The sequence below is a fragment of the Homo sapiens genome, chromosome 3, assembly GCF_000001405.40.
Source record: "Homo sapiens chromosome 3, GRCh38.p14 Primary Assembly".
Taxonomy (NCBI): Eukaryota; Metazoa; Chordata; class Mammalia; order Primates; family Hominidae; genus Homo; species Homo sapiens.
In genome coordinates this window covers 178,583,706-178,611,641 of record NC_000003.12, presented here as the reverse complement: position 1 = coordinate 178,611,641, position 27,936 = coordinate 178,583,706, and the positions used below count along the sequence as shown (strand labels likewise).

Here is a 27,936-nt window from a genome sequence, read left to right as displayed (position 1 = left end):
GCTCCACCTCCTGGGTTCACACCATTCTCCTGCCTCAGCCTCCCGAATAGCTGGGACTACAGGCACCTGCCACCACGTCCAGCTAATATTTTTGTATTTTTAGTAGAGACGGGGTTTCATCATGTTGGCCAGGATGGTCTTGATCTCCTGACCTTGTGACCTGCCCGCTTCGGCCTCCTAAAGTGCTGGGATTACAGGCGTGAGCCACTGCACCTGGCCTGGGGTTTTTTTTGAAAAGTTAAACAAAGTTGACCAACCTTTAGCCGGACAAACTAAGAAAAAAAGAGAGAGGTTCCAAATAAATACAATGAGAAATACAAAAGAAGGTATTACAACTGATACTGCAAAAATTCAAAGGATTACTAGTGGCTACTATGAGCAACTATATGCCCGTAAACTGAAAAATCTGGAATAAATGGACAAATCTCTAGATACATACAACCTACCAATATTGAACCAAAACATGAACAGACCAATAATAAGTAACAAGATCAAAGCTGTAATAAAAAGTCTCCCAGTAAAGAAAAGCCTGGGACCTGATGGCTTCACTGCTGAATTCTACCAAATATTGAATGAAGAATAAATACCAATTCTACTCAAACTATTCACAAAAATAGAGGAGGAGCGAATACTTCCAAATTTATTCTATGAGGCTAGTATTACCCTGATACCAAAACCAGAAAAAAACACCTCAACATCACTTCATGATAAAAACCGTCAGGAAGACTAGGTATAGAAGGAACGTATCTCAACATAATAAAAGCCATATACAACAAACCCACAGCTAGTATCATATTAAGTGGGGAAAAACTGAAAGCCTTTCCTCTAAGATCTGGAACACGACAAGGATTCTATTCAAAATAGTACTGGAGATCCTAGCTAGAGCAGTCAGACAAGAGAAAGATATAATGGGCATCCTGACTGGAAAAATAAGTCAAATTATTCTTGTTTGCTGATGAGATGATCTAAGATTTGGAAAAACTTTGAGACTCCACAAGAAAACTATTAGAACTGATAAATTCAGTAAAGTTGCAGGATACAGAGTCAACATACAGAAATCAGTAGTATTTCTATATGCCAACAGTGAACAATGTGAAAAAGAAATTAAAAAGTAATCCCATTTAAAATAGCCACACATAAAATTATATATCTAGGAATTAACATAACCAAAGAAGTGAATGATCTCTATAATGAAAACTGTAAAACGCTGATTAAGGAAATTGAAGAGGACATCAAAAAATGGAAAAATATTTCATGTTCATGTATTGAAAGAATCAATATTGTTAAAATGTCCATGCTACCCAAAACAATCTACAGATTCAAAATACCAATATTTTTCACAGAAATTAGAAAAAACTATGCTAAAATTTATATGGAGTCACAAAAGATCCAGAATAGCCAAAGCTATCCTAAGCAAAAAACTGGAGGAATCACATTACCTGACCTCAAAGTATACTACAGAGCTACAGTAAACAAAACAGCATGGTACTGGCATAAAAACAGACACATAGACCAATGGAACAACATAGAGAACCCAGAAACAAATCCACACACCTACAGTGAACTCATTTTTGACAAAGGTGTAAAGAATATACACTGGAAAAAAGATAGTCTCTTCAATAAATGGTGCTAGAAAACTGGATATTCACATGCAGAAGATTGAAACTAGAACTTTGTCTCTTACCATACAGAAAAATCAAACCAGGCTGGGCATGGTGACTCACACCTGTAATCCCAGCACTTTGGGAGGCCAAGGTATGTGGATTGCTTGATCCCAGGAGCTTGAAACCAGCCTGAGCAACGTGGCAAAACTCAGTCTCTACCAAAAAATATGAAAATTAGCTGGGCATGGTGGTGCATGCCTGTAGTCCCAGATACTCATGGGGGTGAGGTGGGAGGACTGCTTGAGCCTGGGAGGCAGAGGTTGCAGTGAGCCAAGATGGCACCACTGCACTCCAAGCTGGATGACAGAGGGACAATCTGCCAAAAAAAAAAAAATCGAAATAGACTAAAGACTTATATCTAAGATCTCACACTATGAAATGACTACAAGTAAACATTGGAGAAAATTTCCAGGACATTTATCTGGGCAAAGGTTTCTTGAACAATACCCTACAAGCACAGGCAACCAAAGTAAAAAATGGACAAATCGGATCACATCAAATTAAAAAGCTTCTGCACAGCAAGGGTTGTAATCAACAAAGTGAAGAGACAACTGACAGAATGGGAAAAAAAAACACCTCAGACAAGGGATTAATAATCAGAATACATAAGGAGCTCAAACGACTCTATAGGAAAAAATCTAATAAACTTATCAAAAAATGGGCACAAGATTTGAATAGACATTTCTCAAAAGAAGTCATAAAAAAGGGCAAACAGGAATATGTAAAGGTGCTCAACATCACTGATCATCAGAGAAATGCAAAACTATAATGACATATCATGTCACCACAGTTAAAATGGTTTGTAGCCAAAAAACAGGCAATAACAAATGCTGGCGAGGATGTGGAGAAAAGGGAACTGTTGTACATTGTTTGTGGGAATGTAAATTAGTAAAAACAGTATGGGGAACAATTTGGAGGTTCCTCAAAAAAACTGAAAATTGAGCTGCCATACGATCCAGCAATCCCACTGCTGGGCATGTACCCAAAAGAAAGGAAATCAGTATATTGAAGAGATAGTTGCACTCCTGTGTTTGTCGCAGCATGGTTTACAATAGCTAAGATTTGGAAGCAACCTAAGTGTCCATCAACAGATAAACAGGTAAAGAAAAATGTGGTATACGTACACAATGGAGTACTATTTAACCATAAAAAAGGATGCGATACAGTCATTTGTAGCAACATAGAACTGGAGGCACAGAAAGACAAACTGCATATTCTCACTTATTTGTGGGATCTAAAAATCAGAACAATTGAACTCATGGACCCAGAGAGTAGAAGAGTGGTTCCCAGGAGCTGGGAAGGGTAGTTGGGGGCTGAGGGGGCAGTGGAAATAGGTACAAAAAATAGAAAGAATAAATAAGACCTACTATTCAATAGCACAATAGGGTGATTATTGTCAATGATAACTTAATTGTACATTTTAAAATAGAGTGTAATTGGATTGTTTGTAACTCAATGGATAAATACTTTGATGGATGGATAGCCCATTCTCTATTATTGTGCTTATTTCATGCTGCATGCCTCTATCAAAACATCTCATGTACTCAATAAATATATGCACCTACTATGTACCCACAAAAATTAAAAAAAGGATAAATTAAAAATACAATCAACCCTATGTATATTTTAGGACAGTTTTAATGAGAGAATTCAGAGCCAATTTGAGCACTTCAATTTTAACTCCATGTCCTGCAGGAATAAATGATTATTGCCAGCCTATGGGTAAAATTATAAAATGCTCTTGCATCCTTGTTTACTTTCCTTCATGGGTTAAAAATCCCACAAAGTCCAGTTTTTCTCCAAAGCATTCATAGTGTCTGTTGCTTTACTTTAGAAGTTTGAATTTAATTTTCTGATTTTGTCTATTTTGCTCTTACCTCTTTCAAAGTCTCTCTATCCTGTGACTATAATTTTACTTCCTCTCATGTATATTTCTGTGCTTGTTTAGGATGATTCAAAATATAAACTCACATTTTTAAGCTCTTTTACTCCCTTTGTGTGCTCTGTGTCTCCTAAACATTAAAATTTTACTTAAGGAAGAATCTTAGAACTACTAGAGAAATGGTGTTCATTCTTGCTAGCTGAGTAGGAACATGGATCCCATAAAAATTGATCTGTTCTTTTCATTAAAACCTATAAAGAAAATCTCATTTTAAATGACTGTATTAACAAGATAACAGAGCATAGAAGGAAATTACTTATGTTAGATACTCAGTAGCTGACCCAAGAAATTATGAATGCTTTCTTAAAGCTTTGTCTTTAGTATTTGCTAATAAGCCAGTTAGCAAACCTGAAACACAAACTTGTATGTGTTTATGCACACATACACACACACACACACACACACACGCATGCACAATGAATTTGGAGGGACTAATGCTAATTAAATTGACAATTGCATTTACTTTGATCACTACCTTGGCAATCCTGTATATAAACTCTCAGATAAGATACAATGCCTACATTACAGAGACTGAGAAACACAACTCTGTAGTCCTGAAATCTGGGCAGTCTAGAACAAGAAGTTAACAGGTTGTTGTAATCAGAGGTTTGAAGAGGTTTGCAGGCATTTTAAAAACAAAAACATGGATTTTAAATGACCACTGACATACTCCATCCACAATCCTGCCTGTCTTTTGATTTCTTAATTTATTATCAACTTAGCCTTTCCACATGTTTCAGAATCTTTAGGGCTCCGTCAAAATATCTTTCTTCTAGGAGATCTAACCCTTTGCCACTGCACTGTATACCTGCCCCGATGTTTTTTACACCCGAATCACCATTAAGTTTCTATATTCAGTTCTTTGTGTTGTCTTAACCTCTCTTTAAGAGGAATATGCTCCAGTGGAAATAACACTCGTCCTAAATCTGACCTTGGACCTGGTCCTGTTTTAGTCTATTCAGGCTGCTATAATAAACTACCATAAGCTGGGTTGCTTATAAACAGCAGAAATTTATTTCTCACAGTTCTGAAGGCTGGGAAGTCCTAGATCAAAGTGCTGGCAGATTCAATGTCTAGTGAGGGACTACTTATTGGTTCATAGATGGCTGTCTTTTTGCTGTGTCTTCACATGATGGAAGGGGAGAGAGAGCTTTCTGGTATCTCATCTTGTATTTCCCGAGATTGAAGCTTTCTCTATAGCTCAAATCCCATTTGTAAGGGCTCTGCCCTTGTGACTTACTCTCCTACCAAAGCCCCTTACCTCTTAATACCATCATATTAGGGATGAGGATTTTAACTTATGAATTTGGTGGGGGGGATGCAAACATTCAATCTATATTATTCAGCTTCTGCCCCCACCCCCAAATCATGTCCTTCTTACATGCAAAATACATTAAAGGGATCATCATAGCCCCAGAGATGGGTGAGACTCAAGGTATGATTCATCCAGAGACAAATTGCTCTCCAGCTGTGAGCTTGTGAAACCAAACAAATTATGTACTTCCAAAATTCAAAGATGGCTCAGACAAAGGAAAGAAATTTCCACAAAAAAAAAAAAAAAAGAAATAGGAAAGAAGAAAGGCATAACACATTCAAAATAAGTCCAGGCTACAAGGGAAACTTCATGAGGTCTTACAGCTGCAGAATAATCCTCTTTGGCTTGTGGCTCTGCCCTCTAGGTCCACTAGTTGGGGAGGTACCTCTCTATGGACCCACAGCTTTGGGCAGAACCTGTCTAACCAGTTGAAACTCAGGCAATGGCTCCACTTTTTGTAACTGAAGAGGCATCTCTGATGATATTTGAATTGCTTTTGGGGTTCTTCTTCCCTTGTCTTCAATAGTGCACATTTGCAGCTGAATAGGTCCTATACTATAAAACGTATCTATAAGATTGGTCCTGTCCTATAAGACGTAAGAAGTCTGACAGCCTCCCTTCATTCCTTCCTATCTCCTTCCCCTTCAGTTCAAACTGGTGGTATTCCTTCTGGGGTGGCTGATTAAATCTACAGTTTATGCCCACACAAATCTTATCAAATGGTCACTAGGCCACACCCTTAGTGTTCCAAACATTTTTTCTCAATTTTTGCAATATGGATGGCTGCAAATTTTCCAAATCTTTAAGTTTAGATCCTTTTTGCCTAACAATTCTATTGTTATGTCATTTTCCCTCTTAGATTTTACTGTAAGAAGCCAGGGGGCACCAAGCTGTACTTTTAACACTTTGCTTGGGAATTATTTCAGCTAAATATCAAAGCTTGCAAGTTCTATCTTCCACAAAGCACTAGAACATAAACACTATTCAGCCAAATTATTTGCCACTTTATAAAAAAGATCACCTTTCCTCCAGTTTCCAATAAAATATTCCTCATTTCTGTCTGACTTTTGCTGTTTATATGTCTACCAATATTCTGTTCATGATACTTAGCTATTCCATAGGAAGACTGAGGCTTTCTATGCTGCTTTTCTTTCTGAGCCTGTACCAGAATCACCTTTAAAGGTCTATTCATGGAAATGCAAACTTTTCCTAGCATGTACATACAAACTCTTTCAGCCTCCACCCTTTATCCTGTTTTAAGATACGTTTTAAGGTATTTGTTACAGCAGCACGTTCACTTCTTGGGACCAATTTTCTGTCTTAGTCAGTTTGGGCTGCTATAAGAGAATTCCACAGACTAAGTAGCTTTTATAAACAACAGAAATTTATTTCTCCACAGCTTTAGAGGCTGGGAAGTCCTAGATCAAAGCACTGATAGATTTAGTGTCTGGTCATCTTCTGGTTGTGTCCTCATGTGATGAAAGAGGGTGAGAGAGCTCTTCAGAGCTCTTTTATAAGGGCTTTAATCCCATTCATGAGGTCTTGGTCCTCACAACCTAATCACCAACCAAAGGTCTTGCTTCCTAATACCATAATATTTCAAAATATGAATTTTAGGGGAACACAAACATTCAGTCTGTAGCAGGTCCTAAAAAAACTACTTGACCTTAGGCCAGACATAAATCTTTGGGGACTTCTTTTTATAGATCAGTAAAACAAATGGGGCAAATTGAATATTGTCTAAGCTTTCATCAGTTTTATGATTCTGTTGGTCATAAGCTATTATATCACAGTTATGAGTATAATGTGTCATGTTTTCAGAATTCTTAGGCTAGCCAGGAACTTACAGATTGCCTAATCAAATTGAATAATTTTACTTACTGGGAAACTGATTGATTTAAATGATTTACTTTGTGTCAAATAAGTTAGCCAGCAGCAGGACCAGATTCTATGCTTTCTCATACAAGGCAAGTAACTTCAGAATGAGTATCATTAGTCACTAATAAATCAGATGAATGATTTGGCAAGGGAAGTGCTAGCAGGTATTGGTGAAAATGAGATTTTTCTGGATTTTCATAATTTTAAAAACCAAATCTTGTAATTCCAAACTTGTAAATTCCATTTATATTTCTTTAGTTCATTTAAAAATATTCATAAACCATTTAAAATCAGACTTGAATGTTTGCACTAAAACCATAGGGTAATTTTAGGTTATGAGGAGAAAATGATGTGGATTTCAGACATTTTGAAATGCTGTTGGCTGCATGCTATAAAATATTCATGGTTCTGGGTTACACTGTGTGCTTTTTTTTTTTTTTAAACCACTTCAATTGCTTCTTTCAGCATGTTTTTTGTATTGAATTTTACTCTGTGAAACTTTGTTTGTAGCATTATTTTCCATATTTTGGAATTAATTTTGTAATTTCTCTTGATCATATCTGACTTTGTCCATCAGGACTTCATATAACTCACTCCACTCCAGTTGCATGTCAGTTCTGTGGTTTAATTTCCTTTCTCACCTGCAAACAGTGCTTATTTAGCAAGGAACAGCATTCCCATCTGCTTTGTTCCAAAGGGGTGAGAGTACTGGGGGGAGGTGGGCAGGGAATGAGGACACACTGAGTATGAGGTGATGAAAGACTAAGATCAGAAACAGGATGCCCTTTAGAGAAAGAGGTGAGCAGAGCCATGTTGGGGTAGCCTGCTGTGTCTCTGGGAAACGGCTGCCACAGTTGCCTTGGGGTGGTTCTGTGTCTCCTCAGTGTGAGAACTCTTGCTCCAGGGCTTTGAACTGTGTCACTGATACTCTTCCTTTTAGACCAGTATATGTGCAATGTCAGTTTCACTTACCAGCCTTCATGGTTGCTTTCCCCTAGACATGAAATTTTCAAATGTCCCTGAACACAGAATGAAGGTGCTTAAACTTGAGAATAAGCAGTAGAATTTCCAATTCCCAACAGACCCTCCACTGCCTAGAATACAGTATCATCACGTCAGTACTGCATCTGGTTACCCTGCTTATCATTCAACTAACATGCTCTCCCTATGGTCTCAACTCTCCCATGTTCCTGAAGACAATGGATGTCTGTGACCCTCTCTTGTTGGTCCTCTCTGCAGTTGTAGAGCATCATCTCCTCCTGGAAATGTTCTCTTCTATTCTGTTCATTTCTTGAGCACTTCTGATTGCCTCTCCTGACCTTTTGGGTCTTCCTTTTTTCCTTCCTTTGCCCATTTCTTCCTTCCTTCCTTTGCCCATTTCTCAAATGACCCATTTCTTTTTTCAAAAATTTGTTCTAGGGCTTCTCTTTTTATCTACATGTTCTCTCTGGGCTATTTCTACAGCTTTAATCTCTATCTCCATACCTTCCCAGATCCCTGACCTGTGTCTCTGTCCATTTTTCTATTTCTTTTAGCTCCTTAATAACATATATTTAACTACCTGCTTTGTGTAAATCTGATATATACATTTGAAATAACTTACACTTGATTATTACATTCTACTTATGAGACTTATAAGCACCACCCTCAGGACCCAAATGCCATTTTTCTGTCCCATCTCTTCCTCATTTTTTCCCTGCCCCAGGGAGTAACATAATCCTTCTGACTACACACTTCAAAGACCTCATCACCTGCCATATCCAATTAGTCACTGAGAACTCTCAGTTCTACACCTTGATCACAGTCCATCACCTCTCCCACGTTACTCATCCAGGCTGTCACTATCTCTTACTATAATGGCCACCTGTTTTGGAAGATGTGCTTCCCACCCCGTCCAATCTCTAACTCCAATATATTCTCTACATTAGTGGTTCTCAGTATGTGGTCCCCAGACCAGCTGCATCTGTGTCATCTGGGAACTTGTTCAAATTGCAAATTCACCAGCACTATAACATCAGAAACGCTGGGGGTAGGCTCAGCTGTCTGTCCTACCCTCCCGATGGCTTTGGTGTTTGTAAAATATGAGAACCTCACCAACGTCAACCCACTCACTTCATACTTGTCCTACTAAGCTACAGTCCTTTACTCACCCTGCCTCCTCTCTCCAGCTGCAGGACCCTCGTACCTGCTGCTGCTCCCATTCTTCCTTTCCACCTGGCTGGCTCCTCCTTGTCCCTCTGGCTTTGCTTACATATCACTCCTCCCCCCCACCCCCGAACCTCCCAGTACCCAGAGCTGTAGTAGGGCTTGTCCTAAGTGTCCCACAGGACTCTGCAGTAATGGCTATTTTTTTATTGACCCCCTTTATTGTAATTGCTGATTCCTTGTCTGTCACATTTTCTAGGAACTCTCTGAGGATTTGGACCGTGTTTATTCTATTTCCTAAAGCTTTATTTCACTGAAGCTATTAACTAAATCAGAATTATTCAGGCATATAGTAGGTAAATCACCAAAAAAAATCGATATATATATTTTTTTGTGGGGAGGGGGATGAATGATTCTGGTTTCTGCCCTATATCCCTCTGGGTTCATGCTGCTCTATAGGCATAGGAGATAGTTAGTTACCCTAGATTGGCGAGATAGTTACCCTAGATTGGCAATCTCTTCTAATTCTCCAAAGTCATACTTTCCCCTATATTCCAGGTCTCTGCCATACCAGCTAAGTCATCTGAGTGGTGATATTAGGGTATTATCCTGGATCTATCCTTCTTATACCTCTCTCCTCTATCATGTCAAGGCAGTCAATAAACCTGTTGAGGAAAAATCATGCAGAAGCCTGTTATTAATTATAGAGAGATCTAATAATTCAGTCTGGCAGAAAACCCTTTAATTTACCTGCTCTCTTCCAATTCTTTGCCAAGGCTCCTCAAAATGGTCAGACAATTCCTGGCCAGGTATTTGCATAATGGCTTTTCTTCTGTTGCCTTTGTTCCTTTGTGGCCCCAGCTAATTGCCTGAGAGTGCCACTGTTAGTTTTCAACTCTTTCTGATAGAAACCCTGTGTACTAACATGGAAATCTTAGGTAATCTGCTTTTTCAAAGCACAATGCAGAATTTATTGGCGGTGGTGTAACTTTAAGAATATCCGAGAAGCCACCAAGGCCTCTAGGTAAAATAGAATGAGGAACTTTTCTGTACACTTCCTTTACCCTGTGACTCAAAAGGAGGGCCCCTCCTGAGGAAAGGCCAGGAAAGTAATGCAATGTTTAATTTTTCTATACTTCTTGTAGAAGTGTTCTTTCTGAGTCAGCTGTGGACAGGGATATTCACTGACCTCAAGATTATGCTATCCAAAGAGGTTTGTGTTATTTTCGTACAACTGAAAAACCCCTCACGGGGCCACATTCATTAAAAAGACCAGTGGTAGTTGTGGGGAGGTTCTAAAGACCTTAACAAAATCACCTTCATTTTTAAAATTTTTATTTATTTATTTATTTTTATTATACTTAAGTTCTGGGGTACATGTGCAGAGCGTGCAGGTTTATTGCATAGGTATACATGTGCCATGGTGGTTTGCTGCACCCATCAACCTGTCATCTGCATTAGGTATTTGTCCTAATGCTATCCCTCCCCTTCCCCCCCAACCCCCTGACAGGCCCCCATATGTAATGTTTCCCTCACTGTGCCCATATGTTCTCATTGTTCAACTCCCACATTTGAGTGAGAACATGCGGTGTCTGGTTTTCTGTTTCTGTGTTAGTTTGCTGAAAATGATGGTTTCTAGCTTCATCCATGTCCCTGCAAAGGACATGAACTCATCCTTTTATATGGCTGCATAGTATTCCGTGGTGTATATGTTCCACATTTTCTTTATCTAGTCTATCATTGATGCTGGACAGGATATGGAGAAATAGGAATGCTTTTACACTGTTGGAGTGTAAATTAGTTCAACCATTGTGGAAGGCAGTGTGGTGATTCCTCAAGGATCTAGAACTAGAAATACCATTTGACCCAGCAATCTCATTACTGGGTATATACCCAAAGGGTTATAAATCATTCTACTATAAAGACACATGCACGCATGTTTATTGCAGCACTATTCACACTAGCAAAGACTTGGAACCAACAAAATCACCTCATTAACCTCTCTGAGAGATGTCTGCCCTTGCCCTTCATTCCTACCATCTCTGTCCTGAAGTCCCCATCCTCCCTTTCCTGTCTCTCCAAAGCAGCAGATCCCTCCCTACCCTTTATGAATCAAGTGCTTATGTAGAATTCTGTTTTATAAAATAGATAAAGCTGCTTTTTATGTGGATACATTTATTTTCCAATGTATAGCTTTTACTTATTAAAAGTCAATGTATTCCTTAAAAAATTAAAAACAGAGTTATTGTATGATCCAGCAATTCTACTTCTGGTTATCTATTCAAGGTAATTGAAGGGTCTTAAAGAGATATTTGCACACGCATGTTCGTAGCAGCATTATTCAAAATAGCCAAGACATGAAAGCAACCCAAATGCTTGTTGATGGACAAATGAATAAACAAAATGTGGCATATATATACACAATGGAATATTCAGCCTTAAAAAGGAAGAAAATTCTGACATTTGATACAACATGAATAAATCTTGAGGACATTATGCTAAATAAAATAAGCTAGTCACAACTGGGCCCAGTGGCTCATACCTGTAATCCTAGCACTTTGGGAGGCCGAGGTGGGTGGATCACTTGAGGTCAGGAGTTCAAGACCAACCTGGCCAACATGATGAAACCCCTTCTCTACTAAAAATACAAAAATTAGCTGGGCATGGTGGCACACACCTGTAATCCCAGCTACTTGGGAGGCTGAGGCAGGAGAATCGTTTAAACCCAGGAAGTGGAGATTGTAGTGAGCCAAGATCATGCCACTTGACTCCAGCCTGGGCTGGGTGAAAGAGTGAGACTCCATCTCAATAAAAAGGCTAGTCACCAAAAGAGAAATACTGCAGAATATGTCTTGTATGAGGTATCTAGATTAGTCAAATTCATAGAAAGAGAAAAGTAGAATGGTGGTTCCCAGGGGCTGGCAGAGGAGAGGGAAACGAGTTGTGTGTTTCATGGGTATGAAGTTTCAGTTTTGTAAGAGGAAAAGGTTTTGGAAATTAGTTGCACGACAATGTGAATGTGCTTAATACTATTGAACTGTATGCATAAAATGAATAATGAATACACATAAAAATAACATTTTATGTGTATATTACCACTTTTTTAAAGAAAGTAAATGCACAAGGTAAAAAAAAGTCATGTGTAAGGATGAGTGTGCAGAACACAAAACACCTGAAATCTGGAATTGTGTGTTGCGATTTGTCATCAACATTTAATGTGTATTGTTTTGATAGCACATACTTTTAAAAAATTCTGTAGCCTGATGACTTTTTCTTTTTCCTGCTTTTTTAGTAGCTTGCCATATAATTCCAAGCTATTCATCAGTTAAGATTTCAGGAGCATCTTTATTGAATTAAATTGGAAACATAAATTCAGCCATCCCTGATGTATTAAAATTTGATCTATATCACATTGAATTTTTGTCAATTATTCTTTTTAATAGTAATTAAGCAAATATTTTAAAAAGCAAATTGAAAGCAAGTGTTTTACAACCTTTGCAGAAACTCCATAAAACCTTAGAGCTTTGGTGAACCACAGTTTGAAAATCACTGCTATAATACACTATGTTAATCTTCTACTTGGTTTTCACCTTTCTCGATCCACTCTCCACACATCTGCTGGACTTGTCTTTGTAAAACACGAAACTGACCTTGACATATCTTTGCTTAAACATCCTCTGCATAACTCCATCTCTGTAGCATGGTGGTGATCCCTAGCTATCTGTGAGTAGCACTGAAAATTCCAACCTCGAGTCTATCCCCAAACCAAATAAATCAAATATTTTGGGTTGGGTTCTGAGTATATTTCAAAAACTCCCGAAGTGTAGTGTGCAGCAAGAATGAAGAACGACTGACTTAGAGGAGAGTGCATACACCTCTTAATATGACACATAAGAGCTTCAAGATTTGATCTTTCCCCAGTCATGCTTAACTTCAACATGGCCCCACACATGGACCAAATGAGGTCCCTGGTCACGTGAGCACTCTAACCCTTTCCTGCTTGCTCAGGTTGCTCCCCCTGCATCTGGCCTTTTTTGTTATAACCCCTGAGAGTCCATCTTGACAACACAGCTCAAACATCACCAGTTCCATGCTGGTTCCTTCTTTCCTTTGTCCCTCCTTCCCCCTTTCTTCTAACCAATGAATAAACTCTACTGTAATCATAGCTTTCTTTCTAAAAAACAAATATCTCTCTGTTTGGTTCATTATTGATGTGAATTACTGGGAAAAGTTTCCTTACCAGAATGAGTACATAAATGAATGAGTGAATGAGTGAACAAATAAATAAATAAGCAGAATACCTATTAGCTTGCTAAGAAATCTGGTCACTCTATCTCTATATAACAATTCGTATTCTCTAGTGCTTTACAGACCTTTATTGTCTATAATTTGCATCGCAGAAAAGTGGCGCTATGTCGCTATCTCTTGACTGGATTCAAACCTGGAGTTCTCTACAAATCCCAAGCTCATCCCACCAAACACTTTTATATACGGAACTACTCCCCAGTTTAGAGAGTTTAGAGGTTAAGATGGAGGGGTTATAGCAAAATGGTCAGGTACCTGACTGAGCTTATGTCGCAAGTTTTGAGGCTGGTTTTAAACTCTAATTAGAAACTTGAAGTCTGTATTTCTTGTTTTTTTTTTTGTTTTGTTTTTTTGTCCTGCATTTTCCTGAATTCTTTATCATCAAACTGTTTTCTAACAGTTTAAAAATCTGAGTTCTTATTAAGGCTCCATGTTTCACTTTTCCAGCCATTTCTTCCTCCCACCCCAATTTTTTAACTTTTGAGATATTTAAGAGCCAACACAAAAGAAGAAGTTGTAGCCAAGGAGATTATCAACAGGGCTTTTTACTATCATAACTCGGTCAGAGAGGAAAAGATGAAAATAACCATCTAAATATCTTGCCTATAAGCTTGCCAAACACAACCCACGGTAGTTTGGAAAATGAATGGTGAGGAGCACATCATTTGAGTATATTTGTGTGAAATTACTGACATTGTGATACTTGAGCACCTCCAGTATTTCTGCTTCAGGAGTCTTAATGCAGTTCATGGTGAATGATGTGTTTGTTGTATCACTGCGTCAGTAAATTGAAATGACAGTGTGACTTTGTTCCCATTCATGCTTTGCATGCCAATTTTATCCCAAGTGAAACCTTCTCTTTGATTATTCAATGGGCCTAGCTGTGCAAACTCAGTGTTGTGCACATTTCATGAGGAATGAAGCTAGGGAGAAGCAAGTGGCTTTTACATGCCTGCACACTTATAAGTGAGCTTTACTTTTCCCAGTGGCTGTGTCCTATGGGTCACTTTCTCCTTCATAATGATGATATCCGAAATAAACTTTAAACTAGACATTAATGTAATGGTTATTGAGCTGTACATTGTGTATCTTTGTACCTATTAACATCACAATCAACATAGCATTCCAGAGTGCCCCACAATCATAATTCATTAACAAGGCAATGATTTTCAACTGGCTGAGGAGCTCCTTTATGTGATAAAAACCCATTATAGAAAAGAGGCATAAGAATGTCAGGGTGTGAATTAAATTTCTCCCCATGATGCCTGTTTAAGTCAGGTAGCTCGAGACTGTGCATTACTAACCCTGTTCTTTTATGAGTCTCCTCAGCATGCATGGCATCTGCGTGGAGAAGAGCAGCAGGCACACCTGTGAAGGCTGAACCTCAGGATGGAAACTCCACCCACCCTGTTCTCTCTTCTCCAGCCATATGCCACATAGAAACCTTAAATATGAAGCAGACAATGGATTGGATGTATTAACTGAAAGAGGTTCTCCAATAAAGTATATCTTTTAGTTTTGGTGGAGATTTATGGGTCCTGTTTGAGAGACAGATTTAGTGTCTGGTACAAAATTGAATCTCTTGCCTTTTAGAAACATAGAAGTTTCTTTCAATCAGGCTGTTGTAAAGATATCTCATTCATTCCTGAACTTCACTAATTGTATCAGGGTTTGGCAATTCCTGGGTTGGGGGCGGGGGTTGGTGGGAATGTGGGGCTAGAAGATGGGAGAGGACCATGGAAAAACTTGTTGACTCTTTTAAGGCAGAAAGAAGAAGCAAATTAATCTCATCCAGAGGATGAAGTAGACTACAGTTTGGCTCATGTTTGATATTGTCTTATGGAAAGTAGCAAAGGGTCATGATGAGGGGAGGTGGTAGTGTAATTAGGGAAAGCTTAGACTTTGGATTTATATGTTCATTGAGTTCATATCCCAACTCTTCCAATTATTAGTAGCTTTGTGATCATAGGAAAGAATGTTTTAGTTTTTCTGAGTTCTCTCATTTTTAAAATAGAAAAATAATGCCTTTCTAATATGATTGTTGTCCAGCTTAGATAACATGAGCAAAGGCCAAGTGTATATAAAAGTATAAAATCAATGATATATGTTCTTATTCTGAACTATCATTATTGAGGATAGGTTATTGAAATTGAAAATAGATCATCTGCAACTGGATGCATGGGAATGTGTGAGTAGGACTCAGAAACTTAGTTAACAAAAGGAAGGCGTCTAAGGGATTAAGATTGAAGAGCAAGATAAAATGTTAATGTGTTGGCATCTATGGGAACACATCTCAAATCAAAGGTGGCAAGAGCTAAGTGGGTGATGGGGTTGAGTGGAAGGTGCCTCTCAAGCTGAGTCCAGACACATTCTTGGGGTCATCATTCTCCTCCCCTTCAGTGCCTCTTCGGAAAGCTCAAGATCCCCTGCCTGAGGGTGTCTAGTGATTAAACCCAGATCCACACACAGAGCATCTGACCTACTGAATGGTGCCCAGTAAAGACCATTTATTTCCTTAGTCTTCAATCTGAAATGTAAAAAAGACCTATACTACTTGTCATCCTGCGCCATTCATTGGTTTGGCACCTCTATTAGTCCGTTCTCATGCTGCTAATAAAGACATACCCGAGACTGGGTAATTTATAAAGGAAAGAGGTTTAATTGACTCACAGCTCAGCATGGCTGGGGAGGCCTCAGGAAACTTACAATTATGGTGGAAGGGAAAAGCAAACACATCCTTTTTCACATGGCAGCAGGAAGGAGAATGAATGCCCAGCTAATGGGGAAGCCCCTTATAAAAACAACCAGATCTCGTTAGCACTAACTCACTACCATGAGAACAAGATGGGGGAACTGCCCCCCATGATTCAATTATCACCACCTGGTCCCTCCCACAACACATGGGGATTATGGGAACTGCAATTCAAGATAAGATTTGGGTGGAGACACAGCCAAACCATATCAGCAGCTAAGGATGAGCAGGACCTCGGGCTTTTCAGAAAGGTGGCAAGTTGAAGAGGAGCAGTCACTTGGACTACCAGGATTCAAACCATGATGACCCATTCATCAGCTCAAGTAAATCACTTCACCTCCTGAGCCTTAGTTTCTCAAAATTTAAATCACGGATAATAACACTGACCTGCCTAGTATTTGGATGTCATGAGGTTCAAAGTCAAACAGAGATAATGGATGATAAAGCACACTGGAAACTGTTAGCCATCATGTGAGGATGTGACAAATTTTTAATATGCTGAAATACCTCTTTTAGCAGTGATAGCCATCTAACAGTTGACAGCCTCATCGTATTGATGTATTGATTTTTTTTTTTTTTTTGCAAATACTGTATATGCCACTAAGGCACGGAATAATAAGACGTTAGTAATTCAATATTCAAACAGATAATTGTATGCCCATGTCTATATTAGCCTCATAAATAATTTCATTAGTAGTGTGTCATTGGAAAGAAGAATTGCAAACAGATTTTTCATAAGAGAATATGGTGAAGAATGAAATCTCTCTAATGATACTCATATGAAACTTTAGTATTGTTGTGTAAGTTGGGATCTCAGTATTATTCATTCATTTATTCATTTCACATTTTTAGTGCTTTTTATGTGTTAACATTCCTCTTTTTTATCTATACTCACTTATAAATAATGCTTATGTGTTGACAACTTCTGAGTTAATTTATGTAGTTGCAGCCTCCCCCTTGAATTCCAGACTAAAACATCCAGTTGTCTACAAGGCATCCTGACTTGAGTGTCTAATAAGCATCTCAATTCAACATTTCCAGGATTGAACTTCTAATTTGCTCCTATTCTCTGCAAACATGCTCTTTCTATTCTATCTCAGTAAATGGCTACTCCAATTTTCCAATTCCTTTGACCCCAAACATGGGGGTCATCTTTGATTTCTTCATTCTGTCACACCTACATCAATTCACCAGCAAATCCTATTGCTTCTAGTTTCAAAACACATCCAGAATCTGGCAACTTCCCACCATCTTCACTGCTTCCACACTAATTTCTTGCTCAGGTTAATGTAATTTCTTCGTAATTGGTCTCTCTGCTTTTGCTCTTCTCACGCTTCTCACTCTCACAGACATTCTCACCATGGAAGCCAGAGTGAGCCTTTAAAATACAAAACAGATCATACCAATTATTTGCTAGAATCCTTCCAGTGACATTCCATATTACTCAAAGCATAAGGTCCTACATGATCTGCCTCATTTTCTGTCTACCACCTAATCTCCTAATAGTCTTCCCTTCACTCACTTTACTCTTGCCTCAGTGCTGTCTTCCTGATATTCCTCAAATATGCCAGGCACACTTGGGTAGGTAAGGAGGGAGGGAGGGAAGAGGGCATACCAGAAGAACAAAATAGCATTTTCAAAGTGATGGCTCTCAAAGAACTTGCCTGCTTGGAATTTCAGTCCCTCTGGGGTCATGCAGACATGATTAGAGATAAAAGCTTAGTCAGGTAATGAATGATCTGGTATGCCGTGGCCAAGAGGTTGGACTTTATACAATAGGTAAAGAGTAGCCAATAAAGAGTTTCAAGTAGAAGGCTGACATAATCAGACTTGCATTTTAAGAATCTAAGGTGGAGATGTATTGAAAGGAGAAGGATGACCTGTTGGAAGGACATTGCAACACGGGAAAGAGACACAAAAGCCCAATCTAAGGCCGGGGAATTGGTAGTAGATAGAGACGGGAGGTGATTAGGTCATTCCAGGAAGTGGAACATGCCATATTATGGACATTAAATAACTATTGGTCAACAAAATAAGCATCGGTCAAAATCAATAGAATAAAACTTTGTCACCAGTTAGTTTTCAGAGTAGATTGTAGTGGGGAGAATTCAGCTCAAGGACTCCAAAACCACTTTGAAATCAGTTTACAAAATTTAACTTATCCAATGAAAAAGTGGACTCATAAAAGTCAAATCATGTCTTTTGATGCAGTATTCTCTGGCTAGACTCTTTGGCATGTTTAATTGTGGATTTCAAGATGCATTTCATTTGATTAGTCCCTGTAGAAGGAACTGAGTCAGGTGATATATGACTTCTTACTGGTTTGCTTATTTTATTAGACACTTATTTCATTTCTGGTACTTCATTTCTGGTATCATTTTCCATTTTACACGTCATAAATATATACATAAATATTTTAAAAGTTTCTGTTAATCCAGGTTGAATATGTGCCATATAATTGATAATAGCTCTAAAAGTACCTAGGTAATAAACTGCTCTGGCCTCCAAGCTTAAGTTAACTTAAAACTCGAGAATGGCATGTTAGTTGGCAGGACCCATAGAGATTATCTACAACACCCCACTCCCCAACACCAGAGCCCCCTTCCCTCTGCTCGTACTTTATTTTTTAAAAAAAGAAATTGAGGGGTAAAAGAACTTGTCAAACTTTATACCTTTAGTGGCCAAAACATTTGGAATATTAAATGGTGTTTTCTGGGACCACGTTAAAGCAAAAGAGTCACACGAAAAAAGAAAACGACTTCAGTGTGCATTAGAAGCTCCAGAGAGTATGCTAACAAACTGGGCCCTTCTCACAGAAATTCTGATTCCATAGAAACCTTCACTTTAAAAAAATACCTCACTGCAGTGATGCTAACGTAGATGGTCTATGTGCCATACTTTAAGAATGACTCTCGTAAAACAAAATAAGCAGGCGCAAACCAGGAGTTTACCAAAACGTATAGACCTACCAGAACTTTAAAAAGACAATAGTATAACCCAGATTACAGGTTAACAGATACTACTTCTCTATCAACATCTCTTTTTATGGAAAACACACATAGCACACATAGGCTGTCATAGAGCCTTTGTGGCTGTCCAACATAGCATAATAATTGCAAATACAATTATCCCTTTTCAGCCATTTGTGTATCAAGCCCTCCTGATTTTTATGCATTACACATACGCATCATTCCTTAAGAGAGTGTGAGATAACCATAAGTATTAAATGATGTCTTTGTCCTCAATGGACCTCTGGCTTAGGAAAACAGATGTGGTTGCTCTCTTGTGGGAGGCAGAAGCTCATCTGTATTACCTTCGCGTTCCACCTGCACTCTTACATTCCCATAGTCTGAAATAACGCAGTCAAACTATGCCTTTCAGGAATGCTTTGTTTGAGGGCTAAGGGTGAGAGATCACACATTATGTAGCCTGAACATGATTTACAACTGCTAGTGTGATTAAGATAATCAGATCAGACCATCCATAAATATTGCCAGTAATAGCAAAGAAGAAAATCCTATGGAAAGCAATATATGCTACAGACATGAAGGGAAAGTACTCTTTTGCCCTCCCATAGAAAGATACAAACTTGAACTGGGTTATTATAAAAATTCACATTGGGCTAAAACCGACACTAGGAATCATCTTATTCAGTAATTTTCACCAAAAAGAAAAAACATTGGTGGCAGAATACTGTTTTCAAACAAAGTTTTATATAGAACCCTAAAAAAAAATAAAGGCAGAGCTGCTCTCAATGAAGCCAGGGGAGTAGGGAAAAGCTGGGCCTGATCTTTTCAACCTGTGGACTGACCGACCTGATATTCTACATCAGAATCCCAGGGGTTCACAGGAAAGCACTATGACCAAAGACGTTAAGGGATTTGACTATAGCAAGAAGGGCTGGAGTCTTCAAGTTAAACTTAGGAGCCTAGGGACCAGCGCTTATTCTCTGAAGGCCAAGCTGCCTCTCACTCCTTGATACAGATGCCAGATTATAAAAACACACCATCAGCAATGGAGGTCCCAATGGCATCTATAGCCTCTTTATAGTCATGTGACAGTCTGGCTGAGTACCCCCTTCTTCAATGTGGGTTTCTTTGGGGAAGATTGATTTAAAGCAATGAGAGACGGGGAGTGCTCCCTCCTCCTGAGAAGGCTTGGGGACAAGCAGGAGAGAAGTTTTTAAGAAAATGGAAACCATGAGTTCCTCGTTTATGCATGTTTTGAATCTTACTGTGTAGAGCACTTGGTTCTAGAAAAAGACAGAATGAGCCCCGAAGAAGGGAAAAGCGATGAAAACCTAGTGATCTGTGCAAAGAAAGACAAGGAATGTGAAACAGTCAGCTCTTTCTTTTGGCAGACTCACGTATATGCTGATTCCTCTAATGAGTATTTATTAATCTTAACCATTGAGTATTGATTATGTACAGGGATGTTTGAGGTTTTTTTTCCATTGGAGTCCTCAGATCTATGGACTAACTATGAGAGGGTGAGAATTACTTTAAATAAAGACCTACCAAAATGTGGCTTATGAAATATTAGCTTCCTCTCCGTTGCAGATTACACCATTTTGTTTTACAAGTTTCCTGGGCCAAATTCTGAAGTAACTTGCTTTCAGTCACTAATCTGGGCTTTGTTTTTTAGTGGATCATGGATCATGCAACATAATAAAAAACATTGAAATGAAATTAGTAGACTTGCTTTCTCTTTCATTCAAATAGGAGGAAATGTTTGGGGGAAAAAGAATTTACCAGTCCTGCACCAAAATCGTAATTGCAGTGGGATCCTAACTCTACCTTAAAAAGTGATTAAAGTATTATATAAAAGTAGAGTTGTGGAGGGCCTGGGCACTGGCATGATACACTCAGTCATGACCAGTCATGATGTACTCTTAGTTTGAATAGTGTTTTCTCCAACTACAAGCTGTATGGCTCAAGGCAAGTTACTTAACTGTTCTGTGCATTAATTTCAACCACAGATAAGAGATACTAGTAGTGCCTACTTTGTAGCATTGATGAGGATTAAACAAGATAATGCATACAGCTCTTGGAGAAGTATCTGGAATATACAAAGTGCCCAATAAATGTCAGCTATTATTATTTCCAAGTGGTAGGACAATGAGTGATTTTTTCCCTTAATTTTTTAAAAAAGTTAATGCAATTATGTTATATGTTACATTATGACAGAAACTAAAGTCATAAATACAAAACAAAAAGTAAAAATTTTTGAAATTTGAAAATGTTGAAAGGCTCTCTTTTTTTTCCTCTAAATCCAATGTCAACTAAGATGAGGTTCAATTTTTGAGAGGAATAGTGTGTATATGAAGGGGAGAAAAATGGATAAAAAATGTACAGATAAAATTGTTCTACCCAATCTTTTTGCAAAAACCCGTTCTCCCTCCTTTTTTCTCAATGAATATTTGTCACTATGACCTTCCAGCACTAAATAAGAGAGAGAAGGAAGGAGGATAAGAGGAAGAAGATGAATAAAAATGGTTAGATGCAATTTTTCTGGTTAAACCTTCCCAAATCTCAATGGAATAACATTTTAGTCTCATACCAAACCTTACCTCTCACTGTCATACTTCTGGGCCAGTAATTTTAAGTGTATTGTTATGGATATAGATCTGACTTGATTTCGTCTTACACAGTAGGATGTTAAAAGAAAATTCCCAGCTCAGGGTGAACAATTTAAAATGTTACGACTTTCTTTAGGGGATTGCAAAAGAGAGTTTTGAGATCTCACTTTTACCTGGTCTTGCCACTTCAGTGAATTAACCCACAAGTATTTATTGAATGGTTAATTACTCTGCGTCCAAAGTTTTAAAACTTTGTCTAGGACAGGTCACTACCCTTCCAAATGGCCTCACACAATCTCTTTTCAAATGTGAGGGAACCCTGGATGGGATCAGGCTGAAATAAATCTATTGTCAAGGAGTTTGAGACCAGCGTAGGCAACACAGCAAGGGCCTGGTTTCTACAAAAATATTTTAAAATTTGTCAGGTGTGGTGGCACACACTTGTAGTCCTAGCTACTTGGGAGGCTGAGGCTGGAGGATTGCTTCAGCCCAGGAGTTCGAGGGTACAGTGGGCTATGATTGCACTACTGCATTATAGCTTGGGTGAAAGATCAAGACCTTATCTCAAAAACAAACAAACAACAACAAAAAAAACACAACCTCCCCCTCCCCCCAAGGAAAAAACCAAAACCATGGTGTGAGTCCCTGTGATCTGCTGGTTATTTCTGAGACACCATAATTGGGAATTAGGAAGTGGGGTGTGGAGACAGATCTCATTGAATTAGCACAGGCTGTGGTATTTGCACGTGAGCTCAGGCAGAACCAAACGTGCTAACAAAATTCAGTGATTTTACAATGCACCTAGTGTTTCTGCCAGAAATTTGGGCTCTGCAAGCCTTGTGTTTTCTAATTGGAGGGCTTGGAAGGGGGAAGCTGAGCTGTTAGAACGCTGGGGTAAAAACCCATTACATTTATTTGATAAGGATTGTATGTTTTAGGTAATTTTCTATTTAGATAAACCTGCCCTTCTATTTAGTGAAGAGTCTTTTTTAAGGCCATAGAAGATGGTTTAAAAAAGCAACCCTACTAAGTATTTAGTGTTTGAGTTAAGCCTGAAGGGTATCAGTTCATTCACATAGGCTCTGTTAAACCACTTAATAGCTGTGTGACCTGAACAGTCATTAGCTGTTGAGCACTTTCTCTGCGACAGGTCCTTGCTCCTTGTTTCATATCCATTATCTCATAAATTACTTACAATAGTCCTTTGAATGGCCCCTCTTATTTTCTTCATGAGGAGCCTGAGGCTTAGAGTACTGTGGTAATTGCCCAAGGTTTTGTAAGTGGTGTAATGATGCTGGGTAGCTGGGTTCAGTGTCTTCAAACGGAAGTCGTAATAGCTACCTCCCAGAGTGGCTGTCAGGAATACACGTATATGTATACATGTTTATATACAATATGTGATATCCACTCATATATACATATGATATTATGAATATAGATAAAAATTAAATTAAAAATTATATATATACCCACACACATATATGCATGTATGTGTGTGTCTGGTACATGAGAAACATTTGATAAGTAGCATTATATCAACAGAGATCACCTTTCTACAATGAGAAACTTGCTTCTGTAGAGGAATATATAGACACGACACAGGTGAGAAGTAAATGAAGAAGATTTCATTTGAGGCTTGCTAACACTCTCTTAAGGCAGAGTTTTAATTACTTTCTACCATCTCCCTGCTTAAAGTTCCCTGAAAATTGTTAATCTCCCACTAGTTGAATGAATTATACACTAATAGGACTCTTTTGCTTCCACCTCAGGTAATGGTGACAGAGCTTTTAACCTCTGATTGGAATGAGGCCTTTTTTTTGCATGGGACCTCTCTCTGATAGACTATGAGCTTCTTAAAGGCAGGGTCCATCTGGTTAATGAAGTCCTTGACAAGGTGCCTGATGTTGTACAGGTGCTCTGTTACCTGCCATCTCTTAGTAGGTCAGAAAGAGCCTCTGATAAAAAGATTACTATGCAGCCATAAAAAATGATGAGTTCATGTCCTTTGTAGGGACATGGATGAAGCCGGAAACCATCATTCTTAGCAGACTGTCGCAAGGACAGAAAACCAAACACCGCATGTTCTCACTCATAGGTGGGAATTGAACAGTGAGAACACATGGACACAGGAAGGGGAACATCACACACCGGGGCCTGTTGTGGGGTGGGGGGAGGGGGGGAGGGATAGCATTAGGAGATATACCTAATGTTAAATGATGAGTTAATGGGTGCAGCACACCAACATGGTACATGTATACATATGTAACAAACCTGCACGTTGTGCACATGTGCCCTAAAACTTAACGTATAAAAAAAAAAAAAAGATTACTGGCTCACGCCTGTAATCCCAGCACTTTGGGAGGCCGAGGTGGGCGGATCACCTGAGATCATGAGTTTGAGACCAGCCTGACCAACATGGTGAAACCCCATCTCTACTAAAAATACAAAAAAAAAAAAAAACCACCCAAAAAATTAGCCGGGTGTGGCGGCACATGCCTGTAATGCCAACTACCCTGGAGGCTGAGGCAGGAGAATCACTTGAACCCGGGAGGCGGAGGTTGCAGTGAGCCAAGATGGCACCATTGCACTCCAGCCTGGGCAACAAGAGGGAAACCCTGTCTCAAAAAAAAGAAAAAATTACTGGAAAAGATAATCTCCTGAGTTCTGTTTATTGGGGGACAAAGGTCCTTGGACTCTAGGGGTCCTTCTTCCACCCTCTGTTTCCCAACACTTCCCAGGCCTTAGGTCAGCCTGGGATAATCCATTTCTGCTGGAAAATTTATTAGGGATTATCTAGTAAAAATGAATAAATGAAGATATCTTAAAAAGATTTTTCCTAGTAGATTGGAAAATGTAGTATAAAAGCTGAAGAAGTTAGGAGCCATTTAATAACAAAAGAGGAATAGATAAATAGACCACCCAGAGAGCAGAATAGAGTTCAAACCATGTCCTCTTCACCAATTACTATGTTCACACCATAAATGTGCCATTTTGAATCAGTAAAGGAAGAAGAGACTATTTTATTACATATATTTGGAGAAAAATAAAAGTATATTCCTTTTTGGTATCCAAAAGGTGGTTTTAATCCACATTTTAGTCCAGGTGGATTAAAAAATCTAAACATAAAAAACAATATTGTACTACAAAAAGTATAAGAGAATAGTTTTATAATCTTGACATCAAACCGAGAAACCACAAGAGAAAAGATTGGCATTTTGGGCCGGGCATAGTGGTTCACGCCTGTAATCCCAGCACTTTGGGAGGCCCAGGCGGGCAGATCACCCGAGGTCAGGAGTTCGAGACGAGCCTGACCAACACGGTGAAACCCTGTCTCTACTAAAAATACAAAAATTAGCCAGGCGTGGTGGCACATGCCTGTAATCCCAACTACTCAGGAGGCTGAGGCAGGAGAATCACTTGAACCCGGGAGGCGGAGGTTGCAGTGAGCCGAGATCATGCCACTGCACTCCAGCCTGGTGACAGAGCGAGACGCTGTCTCAAAAAAAAAAAAAAAAAAAAAAAAAGAAAGAAAAAAAAAAGAAAAGAAAATTGCTTTCTCCCCACCTCCTTCTATTCTTCTGAAAAAAAATTATGACAGGCTGTTTTCAAAAAGTAAATTTTAAAGGCACAAGATTTATTTTATGCTAAAATATAATGCTGACTAAAAGAGCTCATCTTTAGACTTCCTGACGTGCTTGATTTGTTACCACAATTACTTGTTTCTTTTTTTTTCCTGTCCAGTGGCATATCACAAAACTTCTTTTTAATTTGGCTCTCTGCTGGTGTTTGCAGCTGGAAATTATTTCCACCTCCTGCTTAGGTCAAGGGAAAGTCAAAGATGGAAGGAATCTTAGAATTCATCTAGTCAAATCCTCCATCCTAAACTTGAATTCCCTCCACAAAATCCCCTCTTGACACATCCATGGGCTTATCCCAGTTGCCCCAGCCTATGTAAACGAGGCAAAGAGCAAGAGACAGGGTAGAGAAACAGCAAGAGGGGAGCAGTGGCTGTTTCTGCACCTTACAATCTTACTAAGTTTTCTATACCACTTTACCATACAGAAAAAATACTCAATTAAAGATTGTTTTATCAAAGGCCTTACCTTCTGTTGTACCACACACACTAACTAATAAACTTACATGGCAGTGTGCGAACATTAATGAGAATGAATCACTCCTAAATTATCAGCTCACATTATCATATAAATGATCACTTTTATTTTCTCTCCCAATAGTGCTATAATCTCTAATAAAACAGTTTATACATGTTGTAAGTGAGACTACTGTGCCCTAGAAAACTAGCATTATATTGCTTTGTTAATAAAAATGCAAAACTACTCAGGCAGCTTTTATCAGATGCCTAAGTCTCTGGATCAAGCCCAAGTCAGCCCACCGTACATCTGGAAGAAAAGCAAGTCAGACTGAACCCTGAACACAGTGTTACAGGAAGTATCCCAGGCTTGGTATATTCAAATACCCAGATAAGATTGCTGATCATGGAATCTGTTTCCAGCCCTGTCTCTCTCCCCTTCCCAACCCTAAAAATTTCTTTTATTAGAATTTGGGGGTCTAGTAGCAAAAGTAAGTGGAAAACAATGATCCTACCTTTGATGCATTGTGGCCACGATATGGACCATGAAAAAGAAGTTCTCTAGTCTAGTGAAAGGGATGGTTAATATAATAACTTGGACTTAAATGAAGCCTATTGGCTCTGTAGGAACACAAAAGAAATGACCCTGTGGGGGTAAAACAGACCTTTATAAATTTCATCATGCATCATGTGGGACAAAAGAGCCACTGAAATTCGAGTTTGTACAAATGTATTATGATGATGCTGTTCTTAACAAGTTCTGCCAAAGTCTGAAAAACATAAGCGTTTCTAGAGTCGCTATTTGCCAGGAGAATAATCTGCTTTCTGTTTGCAGAAATCCAAGTGAAGGAAAGAGGATTCTGTCCAGAGAGTTTTAATTTGACCCAAAACCTTAATCAGATGACTTTTCTGTAGATCCTTCTCTTAGTCTGTCAAGAAGAGCGCTGCTGCTGAAGCCAAAAATATTGGCAGATAAACTCCTTACAAGAAAGAACATTGTAGATAGGTGCACACAAACACAATATGTAAACAATGGCTATGCCTCAGATGGTTTCTGTTTGTTTTTTGAGGGTGATGGAGGGAGGTTATTGCAATCTTTTGGCAGTGAAAAAATAGCAGGTGTGATAATCAACTCACCTTTCTATCAAGAGAGTGAATTTAAATGGGTGTCGCTTACATAATATTAATATAGTAGAAATTTGACTACTTAGTCCAAAATAAAGAAATAGGGATGAATTTTCATACAAACTTTTTCTTTTTTTTTTGGTTTCTTTATTCCATTTTATTATTTATTAAGACTGTTAACAAAAAATAGGCTTTATTTTTCCTCTGAACTTAAAAACTATAAATTTACTTGGGTCACTAACAGTGCTCTCAGTCTGAGAGAAAATAACATAATAACAACAATAATGAACAAAGCACTTAGCATGTGCCAGGCACTGTTCTAGGTGCTTTTACCTATTCAGTCATTACTTTTCACAACAGCTCTGTGAGGTAAGTACTATTTCATACAAACTTTTTCTTTTGGAGAGGGAGGGAGGGAGGGAGGGAGACAGCACCTGCGGGAGACTGGGCAGGATCTCTCCTATGAAGTCAGAACAACTATTGCCTGTGGCAAAGTACCCAGCACTGTCTCCCACTAAGCCTCACTAATTTATCTTAGTCTGTACATGTAAGAATCCTCTAATACACCAACCTTGGACCAGTTTCTCATTCTCGTTCAGGGTTTTGTAAGGTGAGCAGCAAGCTGCTTTGGAGGCACTAAACTTGTGTGTTGGCTGGGATATAAAAGCCATACCCAGATGCATGAGCTATCCGTTTCATCATCTTTTTAAAGCAGACGTGTTAGCCCTGCCAGCTAGGACAACCCCTTGGCTAGCTGCCTTTTGTCTTCTGTACATCTCCTTTGCCAGTGCCCTTGGAGAAGTTAGACATTACAAAACATGACAAAAATAACACCATTTCTGGTTAAATAAATGATTTCAACCTAAGTTTTCCTAACCAGGGAAGATAGCTTAGTGTGGAGTTTCACAGACCTCCGGTTAATTCTTCCACCTGCTACTGCATCACTTTCAGGCCATGAGAACAGGTAATTATAACACTATGGAGTGCAGTGAACAGCTTGCTATTGGAAGTCAAAGAAAGGAACCATTAACTCTGGCCGTTTCCTTCTTTTCTGACCTTAGCATTTCTGAGTACATTTATGTGCATTATCTCCTTTCTTCTTCAAAACATCTCTGTGAAGAGCGTAAGGTATTATTCCCACT

At 38.8% G+C, this 27,936-nt stretch overlaps 1 protein-coding gene and 1 long non-coding RNA gene across 6 annotated transcripts in view, besides 1 other annotated feature; one reads left to right on the top strand and one right to left on the bottom strand.

The window, feature by feature from the left end:
- KCNMB2-AS1 (KCNMB2 antisense RNA 1) overlaps window positions 1-27,936 on the top strand; it is a 334,939-nt gene that overhangs the window by 248,764 nt on the left and 58,239 nt on the right. The window lies entirely within an intron of this gene.
- Window positions 1-27,936, bottom strand: part of KCNMB2 (potassium calcium-activated channel subfamily M regulatory beta subunit 2) — a 307,994-nt gene that overhangs the window by 232,788 nt on the left and 47,270 nt on the right. The window lies entirely within an intron of this gene.
- Window positions 7,498-7,577: an enhancer, noted in NCBI's record as "active region_20853". NCBI's record gives its function as "activates an Ori minimal core promoter by ATAC-STARR-seq in GM12878 lymphoblastoid cells {active_cell/tissue: GM12878}" and the evidence as "EXISTENCE:reporter gene assay evidence [ECO:0000049][PMID:35858748]".